Source organism: Homo sapiens, chromosome 2, assembly GCF_000001405.40.
Source record: "Homo sapiens chromosome 2, GRCh38.p14 Primary Assembly".
NCBI classification, from domain to species: Eukaryota; Metazoa; Chordata; class Mammalia; order Primates; family Hominidae; genus Homo; species Homo sapiens.
The window spans coordinates 13,091,655-13,111,809 of record NC_000002.12 but is presented as its reverse complement, the minus strand read 5'-3'; the positions used below and the strand labels follow the sequence as shown (position 1 = coordinate 13,111,809).

The window sequence follows — 20,155 nt, the reverse complement described above, 5'->3', positions numbered from 1 at the left end:
CATTTATTCCTCAACTCAGCCATCACTACTGTCTTATTTCATTCTCATGCTGCTATGAAGAAATACTGAGGTGGGGTAATTTATAATGGAAAGACACTTAATTGGATCACAGTTCCACAGGGCTGAGGAGGCCTCAGGAAACATACAATCATGGAGGAAGGGGAAGAAAACACATCCTACTTCACATGGTGGCAAGAAGAAGAAGTGTTGAGCCAACAGGGGAAAAGCCCTTTTCTCATCAGATCTCATGAGAACTCATACACTATCACGAGGACAGCAGCATGGGGATAACTACCCCCATGATTCAATTACTCCCACCAGATCCCTCCCATGACACATGGGTTTTATGGGAGCTACAATTCAAGATGAGATTTGGGTGGGGACACAGCCAAACCACATCAACTTACTGAATACTTTCTGTGTATGTCTAATAATTTTGATATAGTTCTACTGTCTTTCCCCTGATGGCTTTGCTTAGGGATGTTTATAAATGAAATTACTCATCCTGTCACCAAATTGTGATCAAAGATGAACAGATCTGACTCATTGTGGTGGTGATGATAATAATAATCCAAATTCTATCCCCTCTGTTGTCAGTTTAATCCTACCATAACATGGTGACCTGGGGATTAAGCCTGACTAGCCACAGGGCTAACACAGGGGAATAATTCATGAGAATGACAATTCAGACTCAGCCAAGGTTGCATTTTTATCAGTTCATTGTTGAACCATCAATCAAATGAGACCAAAGGTAACCACAATACCGAGGATACACAGAAGCTCACATTGGGATTAATCTTCTGGTCCTTCTGATCTCACAGGGACAGCTCTAAGTTATGTTATTTCAATAGCCCTCTTAGAATAACATGGGAAGATCCTAAAATTGCTGCCTTGAGGTAGGGGAGGAACTCCACGTCAGTCTTTCAGAGTTCATGCCAGTAACACATTAATAACAACAACAACAAAAAAAAACGTGCACTGAAGCTTCATACTTTAAATGCCATTTGTTGTTGAATCATCGAGTCTACTTAAATTTTTCTTCTAACAGATCACAGACTACCATGGTAGATTTACTCTTATAATTCATTTAATAAAGAGACTTAATTCAAAGATTTATGAAAATAATAACAACAAAAATTGTTTAAAGTTTATTTTTCTTCACCAACTGCTGTCCTGAGACATGTTGCATAGGTTCTCCCTCCATTCCCTGTTGAAGGTATTTTAGACATAGCCCATAGGTTTCCCAATCACTTTTTAGTCATAAGAACACAGGTCATTTTAGAAATGAAAACACTCTGGATTCAGGAATATCCAAGATTTCAATCTTCAATCTAGTTCACAATATCTCCTTTTCCCCAAGTTAAGGAATATAAGGTGGAGAAATAAAATAGTTGTACCTTCAGTATTTATTTTTCATGTATATCTGCCTCCATACTTCATGCAGCAGGTGGGTGGGGCAGGAGGAGGTGCAAAGATTAGAGAAGAGGGAAATGAATTCTACTGAGCTGGTTCTGTCTGTGGTGTTCTCTTGCCCAACAGTACCTAGTCAGCATACTCTCTGTGGGGCAGGAGTTCTAACATTAAATTTTGAGTGTACACAGCTGTAGCTTCCTTAGAACTATTTCTGTCCCTTGCTCTGTCATGGACACCTTTGCACTGGTCAGCTCTGTGGGGACAGGAAATGCACCCTTCAGACAATTTTCTCATCTCCCCAGGTAGCCCTATGGGAAGAATCCATTCAGAGTGATGTCAGAGACCGTGTTATAATTCCAGTTCTGCACCCCATTGTTTTCCTTCCCTATGCTACAACACTTAGCAGCATCTACTCACTTTGGGGTATACTTCCTGCCTCTTGACTTTGGATTTGTCTATTTGACTTACTCTGACCAATAGAATAAAGATGAAATGATATTATACCCATGTTAGCAAAAGCCTCGGCAGGATTTTCATGTTTGTTTCTTCTTTTGTTCTCTGTCATTACCAGGAGAAGAATATCCTCAGCCTAGACTGTAGTTATGAAAAAGGTGATGACAAACACGAAGCAGTGCCACCAGCCACACCCAGCCTAGATGACCAGGTACTAGCTTGCACAGGCAGACCTATGAGTGGGCCTAGCAGGGACCAGCAGGGAAGCCAGCCTGGGCCTGTCCTGTGTTATCTGAATCCTATCCAACCTTCCATCTCATGAGCCAAACAGATACTCCTCATTGTATAGCACAGAGATTATGTGGATGTGTGCTTAGGACAGTACTATGGTGCAGTTATTAACTGACACGATTAATTACCTTTGTGTCATAATTCACCTACCTGAAATCCCTGCACTTTTATTATGTCAAATATGGAAAGCATTTGCTGCTGCTATGCTTCTTGTCCTGACTTTATAAATTACTTCCCACATCCATTCTGTCCTTTCTTATATGGGAGGTTGGCAAACATTTTCTGTAAAGGGCCTGCTAATACATTTCTTACAGATTGTATGCTGTCTGCCTCCATTTATCTATGCTATTATAATGTGAAAGCAGCCGTAGAAAACAAAACAATAAATGGTGAGATGTGGGTATGTTTCAGTAAAATTTTATTTATAAAAGCAGACAATAGACTGGGTTTGGACCATGGGTCATAGTTTGTTAACCCAGCTTTATGGTAACAAAATCTGTTACCATGGTAGCAATGGGCATATGACTGCTTTGCTGAAACATTATCATATTCCTGCCTACTTTCCAGATACATGGCAAAATATCCAGTCAATTTACTGTCATAAAAATATTATTTAATATCCTTAAGTCCCTGGCACATCTCTGGCCCTTCTCCCACCTTTTCCCCTGGTAGAACTTGTACCAAAAGGAGAGAAGATGCCTACACCTAGAGGAGTAAGCTCAAAAGAGCCAGGGTCTCTGACAAGTTCATGAACTCACAACCAGTTTGGTCTGCATAGTTATGTCCTTCTTTTACATTAAGTATTTTTTCTTTTTTTTAAATCCATCTAAATTAAGACTTGTCTAATGTATGTAATAAAATAAAATTCTAAATTTTGAAAAGAAATTTGAAACAACAACATAAACCATGGTAAAAATTATTGGGAAAAAGGATTTGTATTAGTTCTCTATTTCTCAGTTCACAAGTTACTCCTCCAACATTGATTTTCCTGTGTCTGATGGTCAGGAATTTGGGCCTAGGATGGGTGCCTCTGACTTAAGATTTCCCGTGGGGTGATAATCAAGATGTCATCTGGACTGCAGTCTCATCTGAAGGAGAGGATAATCCACTTCCAAATTTCTTGATGTTGTTGTCAGCAACACTCAGTCCTTCTCCGTTTGTTTGGCTGAGGGGCTCTATTTCTTGCTGGCTTTTAACAGGCATCTTCCTTTAGCCATTGGCCAGACAGCCTTCTCCATAGGGTTGCTTACAACATGGATTGCTTGCCTTAGAGGAAGCCAGTGAGAGTCTGACAGTCTTTTCATAATCTAATCACACCCATCATTTTTGCTGTATTCTGTATGTTCAAAGCAAATCACAGATCCATCCTATACTCAATGGGAGGGGGTTATATAAAAGCACAAATACTGAGAGATAGGGATCATTTGGCGGTCTTGTATGTGGCCTGCCATTGGAATAAATAATGTTAAAAGCTGCAATAGAATAGAGTACAATAAATGTAATGGAATAAATGTAAATATTGGAAAGGATATATTATCAAAAGAATTTGAAATCCTAAAATAAATCTATAATTCCTAGCAAATAATGACCTAAATTTCATAGCAAAAATAAAATGAACCTCAAATAAGTCAAAATATGAAGATTAGTTATTACAAAGTATTTGAAAACTTTGTTCATTGAAACTATTACCAGGATCTACTGGATTAATAATTGAGTTTTACTTAGTTTCAAAAGAACAGATAATTAAACTGTTTTAAGTAATCCTGGGAGCTAGGAAAATGTTTAAAAATCCTCAATACCTTTTGTAAAATCAAGACATCTTTAATACAATAACTAGGTAAAAATATTGTTATTAAGAACAACATAGAATAGTATTTTTGTGAATGTAGAAGCAATAATTTCAAATCAAGAATAAGGCATTATTAAAAAGAAGCAAGTACACTGTCAGCAAAACAATAAACTATAACCAGATAGAGCTTATTCTAGTAGTACATCAATAAATTAAAGAAAGATCATATAATCACAGCTACAAATGAGAAATTTTAGTGTAATAAACACTAATAAAAGTCATCATTTGTTGTTATCCTAAAAGATAAAACACTAAAACTATTTAAATTAAAATCAGAAACTGGACACCCACTATCACCATTTTCATTTAAATTGTGCCTATCAGATTCTAGAAAATGCATTTAGAAAAATAAGATTGCTGATATAAACATTGGAAAGTAAGTATTTTTCTCTATGATATGTATACCCAGAAAATTCAGATTTTTCTGCCATGAAATTTCTAGTATTAAAAATCAATAGTTGGTCTATTTTCTAGCAAAACACTAAGAGAATCAGGGAAAATATTCTATTTCCTAGCATTCAAAATTATCCACTAGCTAGAAATAATTTTTAAAGTATAGAGTCCTGAATGAAGCACTAAATAAAAAATGTATTTATAGATACAAAATAAGTTCTGCACAAAAGAAGACACATATCATAGTCTTCATTTTAAGACTAAATGAAATGTCAATTTTTACAAGATTAGTATATAAATTTATGTCAATTCTAATTAGTAACGTGACATAGTGTTTTGCCATTGGAAATAATAATTTGAATTATTATAAGGAAGAAAAACTTCCTCAAAAGAAACAAGAGATTAGTGCAAGAGAACATTAAAGGAAGAACTTGCTTTATTTAGATGTATAATAATTTATAAAAATACTGAGGTCAAATCAATGTATCCTTTGAATAAAAATAGATACATGAATCAATCAAAGAAAATAGAAAGTTAAAATTAAATCACAGTATATACGATAATTTAATATAATAAAGATAGTATTCTTATTCAGGGTGGAAAATATAACAGTAGAAATAACTTACTATTAATCTTTATCATCACCTTAAAAAAACAGAGAGATTCTTCAAAGATACTAAGTTTTTCAGGAATAAACAATGCAGTGGGAAGATGTGTGGGTGTATTTTGGGAGGTAAAGAAAGACGAAGGTTTTTAAAAGAAAAATAAATAGGTGTATATAAGCTGTTTAGAAACAATTATCCTTGGCTACAGGGATCAATAACAAGGGTGGTTGTCAGGCCAAGGTTAGGCAAGCAGTTGCCGGGCAGATGTCCTCGTAGGAGTATTTTTTGCACAAGGTTTTGGTTTCAGCAGAGCTATTTGTGATAGGTCTTGTTAACAGGAAGTTTGTGTGTGGAAACTTCATAGACTTCCTGGTTCCATTTTGTCAGGGTTTGACACAAGACACTCCATGACAAATTTAACCATATAAAAACAACTTTGGATCCTACTTTTTATTTTAACCACACAAAAATAAATCCCACAAATAAAAATAAAAGTTGAAAAATCATGTAAGAATTGAAGGTGAATATAAATATCATCTAGAAATTAAAAAAAGATGTCAGTCAAAATAAAGAAACTCAGAAGATGTAAAAGAAAATGTAAATATATTTGACTTCGTACAAACGAGAAACTTTTTAATGGCAACTTACATTGTGATTAAAAAGGGTCAGTAAACAGACAATGAATCTTTAAGGATGGAATATAGATAAAAGATTTTTATATATACATATATATTATGTACTAAGAACTTTTATGTACGTACAAAATAATACAGAAAACAAAATGGAAAAGGTGGCCAAAGGATGTGAAGAAGCCAAAAATAAAACAGCATATCCAAATGATCAATACACATGTGAGAAAAACATCCAAGTCACTAGCATCAAGGAAATGCAAATCAAATTAACAGTAACGTACTCTCTTTACATTTAAAATACTGGTACACTTTATTAATATAAGAGCTACAATACACAGTATTCCCAGGACTGACAATATTGTGTATTATCAATACTATTTCCCTCACACATTGTGACAGAAATTTGAATTGTTACAGAGTTTTTAAACAGTAGTCTAGCAACACCTATGCACATATAAGAGTAAATATTGCCTTTGACCCTGCAATCCCACTTCTGAAAATCAATTCCGCAAAATGAAAACACAAATATGTCAGGGTATAGATAATGGAATTGTTATTAAAACATTGTTTTATGGAGGGAAACATTTAGAAATACAGTGCAAGTCCTTCAACGGGAGGTTGTTAGAATAAATTATGATAGAATCACCACTGAAGTATTGAATACTGTGCAGTTATTAAAGCAAGATGCAGAAAAGTTCATAACATGATCTCACAAAGGAAAATAAGCAAGGAGCAAAGAGTGTATGAGTTTCAGAGTATATAAAAGCATATAGAGCATATATATATATGTGTGTGTGTATATATATATGCACTTTATATATATATATTTTATATATATGCACTTTAAAGTACACATACACACACACTCGGGTAATAAACAAGGTAATTCATGCAAACAAACTAATATTATTTTACCATTCTGAATTGTTTAGTTTGTAACAAAAGGGGAAATTTAGAAGACAGAAAATGAAAGCGGCAGATACAAACTAAGACAGAAAAAATATAAAACAGTGATATCAGTTGTGCATATTACAATCATATGTGTGCCTTCATGCAATTATATGTACATGAATATATGCAAAATTAAATTAGAAATATATATGAGCATGTACAGATAACAAATTTGGGGAATCCTATTTGGTTCCAAGGTTCTGAGACACAGAGAGAAAAATCAGTTAAGCAAGTTCCAAAAATCAGTTAAGTAAGCACAATTCATGCAAAAGCTTGGATTGGACTCAGCTCCCTCCCAGCTGGAAAAGTCAAATATTGATGCTATAAAAGAATGTTTAGTCTTCAAAAGACCACATAAATGTATCATAAATTCTCAAGCTTAAAGGTTCACTGTGGAATTGTCAAGGCTCTTTCTTGTATATGAACAGGAATTTTGTACTTTATTATTCATATCTAACCTAATTGGAGAATGCAGGAATTCATTCAGCCCTTAAATTGTGATTATCAATGAACAAACAAGTATGTATCATAGAGGAACCTATTCTGGTAACCCTTTTATTTCTTAAATAACTAAAAATGCATGCACTCTATCTTTATTACTGTTCGATGGTCAGTTGTCATTGTTACTAATAGAAGTATACTTTCTTGCATAGCACTAATATTTTATCTTTTAATAGGACAAGAAAATCTTTTCAGAATTTGGTATTATTAATATGTTTGATTTGGTGTCTTGGAGAATTACTTTTGACTTGTCTTTATTTGTTTTTCAAATATTAAAGAAGTTTTGGAAAATAAAACACATTGCCCCAGAACACACAGAATAAATGAGCAGCTGACCACTGTCCAATTTCAGTACCCAGGGTAGCATGGAGAAGAGGACTGAATCTTTGACGCACCTGTGCACATCCATGTCAATCACGTGACACAACAGAGCTGCATTAGCCCCATAGTGGGGAAATCCTTTCTCAAGGATTTGCTAACAAATTACATTTTATCTTCATTGCTTTCATGCCCTTGAAGATGAAAGAGAATACATTCATGCTTGAAATAAAGCAAGAATAGTTTGATTAAGAGACAACGAGGAAAAGAACTTGTCTTGAAGTTTTATCCACAATAAAAGAGAGAAAATATGTACATAAATTGAGACATTCTCACTCACTATTTTATGCCTGACTGGCATTATTAAAATGAGTTTTTTTGTAGTTTGCTGAGCAAACAAACAAAGAAGTGAAGCAATAGTATTAGCAACCATTTATTGAGCTCTTACCACATAGCAGTCATATTACTGTTTCAAAGCCACATCACTTTTACACATTTTAGACATTTTTACAGCATCATAGTGATGCTGTGCTGTGTGTCTTAACTGGCCATTTTACTAATGATCAGAGACATAAGGCGAGTTATTTACTTCTCACGGGAATAAGTGGAGCAGCCTGTTTTAAAATCCCATTTGTTGGAATTTTACCTGCCCCCGGAAGCAGTTTGGTTGTTGGGGAGGGATGGATAGGGAGGGATGGGGTGGGGAAGGGCAGGGAGGAGTGAGTTGAAGAAGAGGAGTACCAGTTGTGATAGTTTTTGCTGTGGCAAACGTTTCCTCCAGTGTATTGCAAAATCAACAGTGAGAACAAAATATTATTCGTTATGCTCTACAACATTTCATAGAATCAGTATTTGACTTTTGAAGCTGTTACAGAGCTGAGACAAATTGCAGCTTTTACATTAATTGTGCTCTACAATATTGGAACCACTTTTCTTACATTATCCTGTTCTTAGATATAAAATGGGTAGAAATATGAATTCTGCTAATGCAAATAAGAAAGTAAGGCTCAGAGGGAATTAGTGGTTTCTACGTATTACAAAGTTAAAAGAAAGTCAGGCTTCAAAGTCTGAAAATGATTTAGTCCAAGCCCTCAGCTCTGAGAAAGTTGATCATCTTCCAAGAGAGAAGTGAATTTCCCAAAGTAAGACAATCAGAACTGACTGCAGCCCTAAGCTCCTTCTTTTCTTAACTAAGGAAGACTGTACTATAACCAATAGTGAAATAATGATTTATTGCACAGTTAGCAGTACAATGGAAGTTCATGCTTTGGAAGAGACACTCAGATCCTTCTTAGTCCTTGTATAAGTTACCCTATGGGTTAAAGAGTCTGCACTTTCTGAAGGACTGACCCAGCCTCAATCTTTTTTGGTGCCAAGACTCTATCTAAACTTTTCTGCAGAAATCACCTGAACTCATTGTCAGAGTCTGTCCAGTTCTCTTCCTTGTCGGTCCTTAGGAGAGCAAACACTGCTAATTGTGTTCAAGGCAGAGTTAGTGAAACAGAGCTTGACAGTGAGAACTGGGCATATACAAGGCCCCCTCATAGCACAGGGTGAGGCTGAGTAATGGGGAAAGAAGCAGTGTGACTTGAAGGCCAGAGACATTCTTCTGTCTTGACCTCTTAATAATAAGAATCGGCCTAATACTATCATGGATAAAGCACTGTCCCCAGAGAGGAAGGGATAAAACAGCTGTGCATGTGCTCTTCTTTATCACAAAGAGTATGTAGAAAATTTCTCCGTATAGCCAAGGACTAAGGCAGTTCTCCTCCCACCTCATCTTTCTCGCTTTTAGTTCTCAAGGGTAATTATAGAATGTGCTGAGAATACAACATTCTGAGATAAGGGAGGACTGGCCAGAGCAGCACTGGCTCTATTTTAACAACCCCTAGAAACAGGATGTTCTCCAGCACTTTAGTCTGGTGTGTCACATTGTCCTAGAGTATAAAACCAAGGGTGACTGCTCTCTGGGACTCCTTACCTGCTGTACAAGTGGAGCACAGGCAGACGAGACTCCGTCTTCCCTGGGAAGCTGTCCTGGGTGTTGGGGAACTGGCTCACAGTGAACCCTAAATCTCTGTTGTTCCTTGCTGCCTATCTGTAAAAAATAAATACACTTCATGTAACTTCTTGTGTGGGGGCCTGTTCTGCCTGGCCAGACTCTGAGAAGCTGGTAACCAGTGCACAGTGGACCTGATTCAGAGGGTTCTCTGTAAACTCTATAACTTCTCTAAACTCTCCCTTTCAATTCCCATAATACCCTGATCTTACAGCTATTCTAACATGTATTATTAATGTTTTTCTTCTTTATAATTGTTTCTCCAACTAGACTGTGAGCTTCTCAAAAAATGGACCCTCTAATTCTTTGTATTTCAGCATTTATAAGGGAATATTTAACATATTAATCACTCTGTCTACTCATGTTGAATGAGGGGTTATATTTAAAAATAAGTAATACGCAATTTTGGTTTAATAAATTCCAGTTCCAATTCTATATTCTAATTGGATACATTGAGTTTTGGCCAACGGAGTCCTAGTTAACAGTTCCATTATGTATGAGACTCAACAGTAGGTCCGGCATGTCAGCACTGTGACCAAATAAGTGAGTAGTATTTACCCAAAATCTAATTGTGCTATGAGTATTTTCTTTGAAGGAAACTAACTCTATGGACCTTATGATGGAACAAATGTTTTTGCCCCATCCAAATTCATATGTTGAAACTTTAACCCCCAATGTTACAGTATTTAGAAATGGTGCTTTTAGGAGGAAATTGGGGTCAGATGAATCATGAAGTTCGGATCCTCATGATGAGATTAGTGTCAGTATAATAAGAGGCAACAATCTCTCTCTCTTTCTCTCCCTCTCTCTCTCTCACACACACACACACACACGCACACACACACACACACACACACCAAGGAAAGACCATGTGAGCAAACAGCAAGAAGGCAGCCATTGTCTACAAGCCAGAAAAAGAAACCTTGCCAGACTTTGACCTGGTACTTCTAGCCTTCAGAACTGTGAGAAGATATATTTCTGTTGCTTAAGCCTCTTAGTCTATGCTATTTTGTTACGGCAGTCCAAGCAGACTCAGACAGATCTCTCTCATTTTGACAGATCTGATAAGAAGCTGTTAAATTGTACAAATAATAAATTTTACTTGATCTCAGAAATTAATAAAGTAGCTTTTCATCCTAATTAAAACAGCAATTTTTTGAAATCTACAGGACTGAGGACTTACAGAGGCCCTTTGGAGTTTGGTGTGCTTCTGCTCATTTCTATATAAAAATTTGTTAATTATATCTTTTATACACATAAAATTATTAAAGTTCTTCATAAATATAATATGCAATTAGGAGTTTTATACCATTGACTATAAACACAGCATTTGGATTGAACTTATCGAATTTTTAAAACTCACCAAATGGTAATTGTATTAGTCTGTTCTCATGCTGCTAAGAAAGACATACCCAAGACTGGGTTGCTTATGAAGGAAAGAGTTTTGACTCACAGTTCCACATGGCAGGGGAGACCTCACAATCATGGTGGAAGAGCAAAGGATGTCTTCCATGGCATCAGGCAAGAGAGAATGAGAGCCAAGCCAAAGGGGAAACCCCTTTTATAAAACCACCAGATCTCGTGAGACTTATTCTCTACCATGAGAACAGGATGAGGGAAACCACCCCCATGATTCAATTATCTCCCCTGGGTCCCTCCCCCAATACATAGGAATTATGGGAACTACAAGTGAAAATGAGATTTGTGTGGGGACACAGCCAAACCATATCAGTCATCAAACTACAAGGCTGAGGAATCTCATTTAGATGTGAACATTAATATGATATAGGCAAAGACCATTTTACCACTTAAAATAGTTTTTCAGGAGTGACATCAGCAAGGTGATGGAATAGGAAGTCTAGCCTTCCCTTCCCCTACAGAAAATTTGACTACCAACTATTCACAGACAAGAACATCACTTTGGAAACCCCAAAAACTGGAAGCAAGCTTGAGATACTTGCACAGTACACAGAACTGGAAAAAATAATCCTAATTAGAGAGCAAGAAGAATGGTCTCAGTTCAATCATACCACCCTCTCCTTTTTCCCCAAGTTGGTACAATGCCAGACAGAGAATATTTCCCTAGGCTTACAGTTTCTACAGAAAAAAAAGAGAACATGAGGCAGGCAACCAGCTTCCCTAGCATTCTGAGGCACTTCCCAGGACACTCACTCCATTCTCACCTTACAGAGAACACTGGGAAAATGGTACAATTTTACCACCCACGTGTAAGGTAGAAATAAAGAAATTAACCAGCTCATGGGTATTGGTGGTACCTCTGTTCCTACCAGTTGCAGTGTTCAATCAGAGATATCAGCCAATCTCATAGTGCATCTACAAAGCTGATATGGTTTGGTTCTGTGTCTCTACCCAAATCTCATCTCAAATTGTAATCCCTACATGTCAAGGGAGGGATCTATAATCCCCATGTGTTGAGAGAGAGAAGTGATTGGATTATGAAGAAGGTTTCCCCCATGCCGTTCTCTTGATAGTAAGTGAATTCTCAGGTGATCTGAAGGTTTTATAAATGATAAATTTTCCTGCACTCTCACATGCTCTCTCTCTCTCTCACATGCCACCATGTAAGACATGCCTGCTTCCCCTTCTGCCATGATTGTAAGTTTCCAAGCTATTGCAGAGTTGAGTCAATAAAATCTCTTTCTTTATAAATCACCCAGTATCAGGTAGTATCTTTATAGCAGTGTGAAAATGGACTAATATAGTTAGTTAGTACTAAGGTAGGGAGAACTGCTATAAAAATACCTGAAAATGTGGAAGCGACTTCGGAATTGGGTAACAGGCAGAGATTGAAACAGTTTGAAGGGCTCAGAAGAAGACAGGAAGAAGTGGAAAGGTTTGTAACTTCCCAGAGACTTGTTGAGATGGTTTTGACCAAAATGCTGAAAATCAGGTGGACAAAGAAGTCTGGACTCAGGTGGTCTCAGATGGAGATGTGGAACTTCTTGGTAACTGGAGCAAAGGCCACTCTTGCTATGCTTTAGCATAGAGACTGGGAGCATTTTTTCCTGCCCTAGAAATCTGTGGAGCTTTGAACTTGAGAGAGATCATTTAGGTTATCTGGCAGAAGAATTTTCTAAGCAGGCAAAGCATTCAAGAAGTGACAGACAGTAAAAGTTTGGAAGATTTGCAGCTTGACCATGTGGTAGAAAAGAAAAACACATTTTCTGGGTAGAAATTCAAGCCAGCTGCAGAAATTTGCATAAGTATTGAGGAGTCCAATGTTATCCACCAAGACAATGGGGAAAATGTCTCCAGGGCATGTCAAGAGATCTTCATGACAGCCCCACCCATCACAGGCACAGAGGTCTAAGAGGAAAAAATGGTTTTGTGGGCTGGGCCCAGGGACACATCCCCTGCTCTTTGCAGCCTCAAGACATGGTGCCCTCTGTCCCAGTTGCTCCAGTTCCAGTTGTGGCTAAAAAGAGCCAAGGTACAGCTCAGGCCATTGCTTCAGAGGGTGCTGGGCCCCTCATGGGTGTTCCACATGGTGTTGGGCCTAGGGAGGCACAGAGATGAAGAACTGAGGTTTGGGAACCTCTGCTTAGATTTCAGGGATGTATGGAAATGCCTGGATGTCCAGGCAGAAATCGGATGCAGGGATTAAGCCCTCATAGAAACATGAAATTATGAAACTACTAGAAGAAAGACTTGGAGACTAGGACGTTGGTCTAGGCAAAAATTTTTTGGTATAAGATCTCAAAAGTACAAGCAACAAAAGCAAAAATACACAAATGGGATTATATCAAGCTAGAAAATTTCTGGACAACAAAGAAAATAAAGTGAAGAGACAATCCACAAAATGGAAGAAAACATTTGCATACTATCTGTCTGACAATAGATTAGTAACTAGACTATTAAAAGAACTCAAACAAATCAATAGCAAAACAAAACCAGAACAAATAATTCAATTAAAATATGGACAAAATTTCTGAATAGCAATTTTTCAAAAGAAGATATGCAAATGGCCAACAGATATATGAAAAAAATGCTCAATATGACTAATCATCAGGGAAATATAAATTAAAACCACAATGAAATATCATCTCACTCCAGTTAAAATGACCTTTATTAAAAAGGCAGGGAATAACAGACTCAGATGACGATGTGGAGAAAGGGCAACACTGGTACACTGTGGGTGAGAATGCAAATTAGTACAGCCCTCACAGAAAGCATGGAGGTTTCTTAGAAAATTAAAAGTAAAACTACCATAAGTTCCAGCAATTCCACAATTGAGTATATACCCAAAGGAATTAAAATAAGTATGCTGACGAAATGCCTGCAGTATCATGTTCATTGTAACATTATGCACAATAGAAAAGATACAAAAACAACCTAAGTCTCTATTAACAGATGAATGTACTAAAACATATGGCATATATACACAATAGAATACAATTCAGCCATGATAAAACTGGAAATACTTCTTTTTGAGACAACATGGATGAACCTAGAGAAAAATGCTTTAAATGAAATAAACAAGACACAGACAGACAAATACCATATCATCTCATTGTGAGTAATCTAAAACATTTGAAATCAACGTATAGAGTAGAAAGGTGGTTACCAGAGGTTGGAGCAGGGAGGGGTGGAAAGGGAAAGGGGAAATATTGGTCAACGGGTACAAAGCTACGATTATATCAATGTATTGAAGCATCACATTGTACCCCATGAATATCTACCATCATTATTTGCCACCTAAAAATAAAATAAAATAAAACAAAGAAGTTATGTAAAATTGTCTGAGTTAGATTTTACAACAACCCTGAAATTATAGGTGTATATATTTGTACAGGGCTGCTGTGATACTGTATCTCCTACCAAGGAGGCTCATCCCATCTGATGGAATCCAGTATTAAAGAACTGTCCCCTTAGGTTTAATTGCATTTGTCACATCATGTGTCCTCCAGCTGTTGATAAGAGGAAAGTTGTATTTAAAAGAACTGGATATAAGATACAGAAATCTCTATTTTTCTGTTCACAAATTTACCCTTCATAAAGTACACAAGTCTTCCAAACCCAGCCCAATTCCTTTGCATAATACCTTGATTTGCTAATTTTCCCAGTGTCCCAAGTTGGACTCTGGGATAAAGCCAGGGTAATCCCTGTCATCACAATGTCATTGAATTCAGCACTAATGAGACCTCCTCCTCTCCAAACCTGTCTCCCAAGCTCCACTTCAATGAACTCTAGGCTTACAACCTTGGAGATCAAGAGCATCGTTTAACATGTAATTTCAACCTGGGTTTCATAGAACTCTACTACTGTGGTGTACTTTGGCATTTCTTCAAATATTTGATTTGAATTTTACTCTGTATATAATTTGACAATTTTTGAGTGTCTTAACACACAGTCAAATGTGCTACATAATAATTTAATACTTCAGAGATCAGCAAAATGTCAAGTTGAAGTTTCATTGACTAGATTTACAGGAACTTTTATTATATATTTGAGCTTAGTGAAATGCTACTTTCTTCTGGTTTATAGATATAACCCAGGAATGGCAAAGAGAATTCTTTCTCAAGGAGCAAGCATTCAAATGTTGGATTTACAGGCTGTCTTTCATAGGCCCTCTGAAGGCTGTACTGTAACCAACGCTTTTTCCACCTCCCTAGATTAGCTGTAAACACACTCTGGTCCTTGTTAGTACTACTTGGAACTCTAAAACAGATGAATAGATGTCATCGAGTTTGATGTTACCTTCTTCCAGGGCCTTTGTTTATGCTTGAACCGATAATGTAGTGCACTAATAGCTCACTATCCAAGGTGTATTAATCTGTTCTCACACTGCTAATAAAGACATACTCAAGACTGGGTAATTTATAAAGAAAAGAGGTTTAATTGACTCACAATTCAGCATTCCTGGGGAGGCCTCAGGAAATTTACAATAATGATGGAAAGCAAATATGTCCTTCTTCACATGGTGGCAGGAAGGAGAAATGTCGAGCCAAAGGGGGAAAAGCCCCTTATAAAACCATCAGATCTCATGAGAACTCACTCACTATCACAAGAATAACATGAGGGTAACCACCCCCATGATTCAATTACCTGTAGCCAGGTCCCTCCCACAACACATGGAGATTTTGGAAACTACAATTCAAGATGAGATTTGGGTGGGGACACAGCCAAACTATATCACAAAGGGAGTGTCATTCACGGCAAAGAAAGCAGTAATTTATTTACTTATCATGACAAATTTCTGGGAGACTGCAGGAAAGTGCCTCAGTCTAATAAAATCACAGTATATCATGTTAATTTTCCAATGGATATAGGTAAATAATTTAAATAAGGAATTTCTCTTCTTGATTCACACTGCAGCTGGTATTTTTGGCCACCGAAGCCATATCCCATCTGATTTCAGGACTTTGACTGCTGCCCCCTAAGAAACACCACCTCATCTCTCTGGCCTCTTGAGCTGGAATAGCCTGTGAGTATATTTGTAGACACTACTAGTAGCTTACCCACTAGCTATTCTTTCCTTTGTACTTTGTTACATACTATGATTTAATTCAAGGCAGCAGTTGGCATTGCTGAAAGAATATTCTCCAGCCTTCTTTGCAGCTAGAAGTAGACATTTAATTCAGTTATGACCACTGACATATAAGTAGAAGGCTGAATTCCAGGAAATGGAAAAAATGGGTCTGACTGCTGTTTTGTATTATTTTTTTTCCTTTTCTACCTCCTCTTTTTCTGCTTCTTGAGATACAGATGTGATGGTATCATCATCCTGTCAGTCTTCTTAGACCTTGAAGTGACCTTGAACATGGAATTCTAGTTTTAACAAGGGTGAACAAGATGAGAGAAAACTTCGTATCTCATACTGTGCTGCTACCACTATATTCCTAACTTCCATCTTTAAACAACTTATATATGAGATAAAAAAACAGATGTTTATACATGTATGCTACCGTTATTTTGGCTTTTTGTGTGTGTGTGTGCTGCTGAATCTCTTCTAATGCAAATTTTCTGAACCAAGCTGTGGAACTCATACTGTGCTTGAATCCAGAAGATTTCAGGAACCCTTGGCCAGTTGAAAAAAATAAACATCATCTTCCTGCTCTTTCTACTGTCTTCAGGATTCCTCAAGAAGATAGACATGTCCCTGAATCCTAAGACCTATGGCTTGGATAATATACTTTCTGTTGTCTTCTTCCCTGATGTGTATGCAGACTTCTACTTTCATTTAGCTCTTGTGGTCTTCCCCCATGTTATATGGAGTCTTGATTGTTCTTCATAATGTCTACATGCATACCTTTCTTAAATTACTCTATCTTTTCCCTATGAGCTATGGCTTGACTATATTTATGTTTCAGGTATAAGGAATATGAATTAAAACAATTGATACTGAAGACCTATGTTTTCTGCAATGCTTGGAACTAAGGGCAGAAAGAAAAATGAGATATGCTCATCTGACAGATTCAATCACTCTGTCCTTCTTAACAAATTAATATCTTATGTAGACCACTAATACATTCATTACATTCTATTAATATTACTAATAATTAATACATTAGTAATTATTCTATTAATATGGTACACTTAAAATATTAATTTCTTTCTCATATAATACATTATGAGATATTTGAAGGAAATGTATTTGGATATTATATTTGTGCATAAAAATAGTTTAACAGACGACAGGTAGCAGAAACTTTATTCCACATAAATGATTCTGTATGTCCAAAAGTGCTGATGTATACAAGGAAAAGAAAGAAGGAGTTTCATTTTAGAAACTTGGATTCAATATCTACTATCAACAATAGAAATGGAAGATAAAATGCATAAATTATATGGCTTCCTGAAAAATAAAATGACAACAATAATATGGAGGAATAAGCAAATAATTAGGGCTTAATAAATATAAGCATTCATTCCTTCTTTCCCCTAAGTACTTTCTACTACCACTCTGAGCTTAATTTTCTTGTTTTAAAATGGATGGAAATAACTACACTTGTCTTATAGGCTACTTTAATGGGGTAGAATTAAATAAAGTGGTACAGTGGTGGAAATGTGCTTTATCAATTCTGAAGCGTGAGAGTATTTTGATTATCATTTAGAATTATTGTGCCTGAGTGATTGCTCTGTCATAGAGCCAATGCACGCTATGTGTAAAATTCAAACCTCTTGACTCAGAATTTAGTGGTTGTTGGGACAGAGGAAGAATAATTAGGTACTTATTAAGGTTACATCAATAATTAATTGCAGCTTTATTATCATTTTTCCCTAAATGGAATTGTGCCTACTGTGTTGGCACAAAAGAATAAAAAGTTATTCAAATATCCAGCTGATGAACTCTAGTCAAATATCCGGAAAATTGGCTAACAGTGTTGTCTTGAGAATATGAAGTTCATTTTGTCTGGAAAAAAATCAATTCCCAAATGAAGCTGTGAAAGTATTGGTTTTAGAACAATGTGTCCAAGAAAAATCTAGTTTTGCTACAGAAAGTAATTGGGACCCCTCCCTTGGCACAGCACAAGTCCCCAGTGCCACACATCACTCTGCATCAACAACTAATGACTTTTCCATTTGCTGGGCCAAAAGAGAGAGGCAAAAATGTTCCTTCCCAAGTTAGCTTTCCATATGAACTACAAAGAATAGATTAATGAGAGAGTCCCTTGTGTAGTTCCACTGGTTCCACTAAGGAAATTGTATTGTTTATTCACATCTAACTTCAGAGTCCAGAATCAAAATTGTATTTCACTTAGATCCATTAGAGACGTCAGCTTGTGTGGTTTATATCTGATTTTTTTTTTATGATAGAATGTAACCATTGCATAGACAGGGACTTTCAGTGTTTCAGGCACATCATCAAGTCCAATAAGTACATATGGGAAGAATGCATAAATAAACATCCACTTTGAGGGTAGAGTTTTTATCTAGTTCACTTCTGTTTCTCTCTTCCTCTAACCTTCCCCCATTCTCTTGTTCCTGGCATGGTACCTATATCATAAGGAAACTGTTAAAAGAAAAACAAACCAAAATTGCTTTATTAAGGAGGAGTGTATAAAAGAATCATAATACTATGCTCTTGTCCAAAAGTGCTGGGAGAGGAAGAGACAAATAGATATATTTTCATATCAGCACAATCTAGAAGTTACTTTTCCCCTCAAAAGGGCAAATTCAGCATGGCATAATTCCCAGGGTAGTGACAGGACACAGGCATTCTGCAGTACATGCAGTAGAAGGCAATCCTTTTCATAATGATTTTTTAACTTAAATAAAACTTTGAACAAAAACATAAACAGAGATTTTTTTCTATCTATAGATACAAAGATCTAATTTAAGAAATACAAATTCCAATGTATGCTATTACTGTGTGTCAAAAAATAATCTCAATGCTTTTTATGCATGATTTCATTTAAGCCTCACAGCAACTTTCTCATATAGATGATTTATGGAAGGCTTTTCCGACAGAATGTCTAAAGGATGAAATTTTTATGATCTTTATTTCTAAACGAAATGTTTATGAGATTTTTTTTTAACTACAGTGGTGTCCCAGATAAAATGATACCCTTGAACGTGGCCTACTGCACTTTTCCCAACAATATCCAGTAGCAGCTGACTACACGTGATAAGCGAGCTGTTACAAACTGAAGGTTTGTGTCCAAAATTCATATGTTGAAATGTAGCCTACCCCAATAGAACGATATTAGGAGGTTAGGTCTTCGGGAGCAACAAGGCCGTGAGGGGGGTCCCCATGAATGGAATAAGTGCCCTTATAAAATGAGGCCAGAGAGCTAGCTCACCCTCTTTCCCTATGTGAAGATACAGTATGAAGTTGGCCACCTGCAGCCCAGAAGAGGACCCTCACGAGAACGCGGCCATGCTTGCACCCTTAACTCAGACTTGCAGCTTTGAGAGCTGTGAGGAGTAAATTTTTGTTCTCTACAAACCACCTACTCTCTGGTACTTTGCTACAACAACCCAAAGGGAGTAAGACAGGAGCTAACAACAGTCAGCTCCCCAGACTCATCAAAGCCCACTGTATGCAGGAGCCAGCACATCAGCTGGGGGTGGGGGTATTCCCTTTTTATATCTACAATCAAATGAAAACATTGTGTTCTTCATCAACTGAGAAAATGTTTACTTTTCCCTATCTTTGTTTCCATTTCCAATAGTTTTGTTTCTGTTAGGGCATCCAGCCCACAACGTCTTGATTTCTTCTACAGAAAGAGGCTATCATTAGTAATTCCACTTTAGAGATGAGAAAATATGAATACAAAGAGGAATTTAAGTCATTCACTCAAGATTACATAAATAGTAAGTGTGCAGGCTGGATACAGAACAACTGCGGATTCACTAAGGAGACTAAAGAGAAATATAAATTTATCCAACTAGAGCAGAACACAAACTGTTATTCTAAAAAACCACATTTTTTGTTTTGTTTTGACAGTTCCCTCCTGAAGAAAAATTCTGTGTGACTGTCAGAGTCTTACCACATCTGTGTTGTGTAGTGTATAAGTATGTTGACTACATTTTATGGTGTTAAAAAAAAAGCATAACTACTGTACTGAGTTGAAAAGTGTCTCCCCAAAACTTATGTCCTTCCCAAAACCTTAGAATGTGACTTTATTTGGAAATGGGGTCATTGCAAATGCAATTAGTTAAAATGAGCTCATACTGCAGTATGATGGGTCTTGAATTCCATATGACTCAGCACTTACATGAAGAG

General features: G+C 36.6%; 2 long non-coding RNA genes across 4 annotated transcripts in view; both read right to left on the bottom strand.

Moving 5' to 3' along the window:
* LOC105373484 (uncharacterized) overlaps positions 1 to 10,530 on the bottom strand; it is a 112,349-nt gene extending 101,819 nt beyond the window's left edge. Inside the window, exon 1 of the long non-coding RNA XR_001739294.1 lies at positions 9,388 to 10,530. This is a non-coding gene — a long non-coding RNA (uncharacterized LOC105373484). The remainder of the gene's footprint in view (positions 1 to 9,387) is intronic.
* Positions 1 to 20,155, bottom strand: part of LOC105373436 (uncharacterized) — a 330,895-nt gene that overhangs the window by 219,874 nt on the left and 90,866 nt on the right. The gene's annotated exons all lie outside the window — the stretch shown is intronic.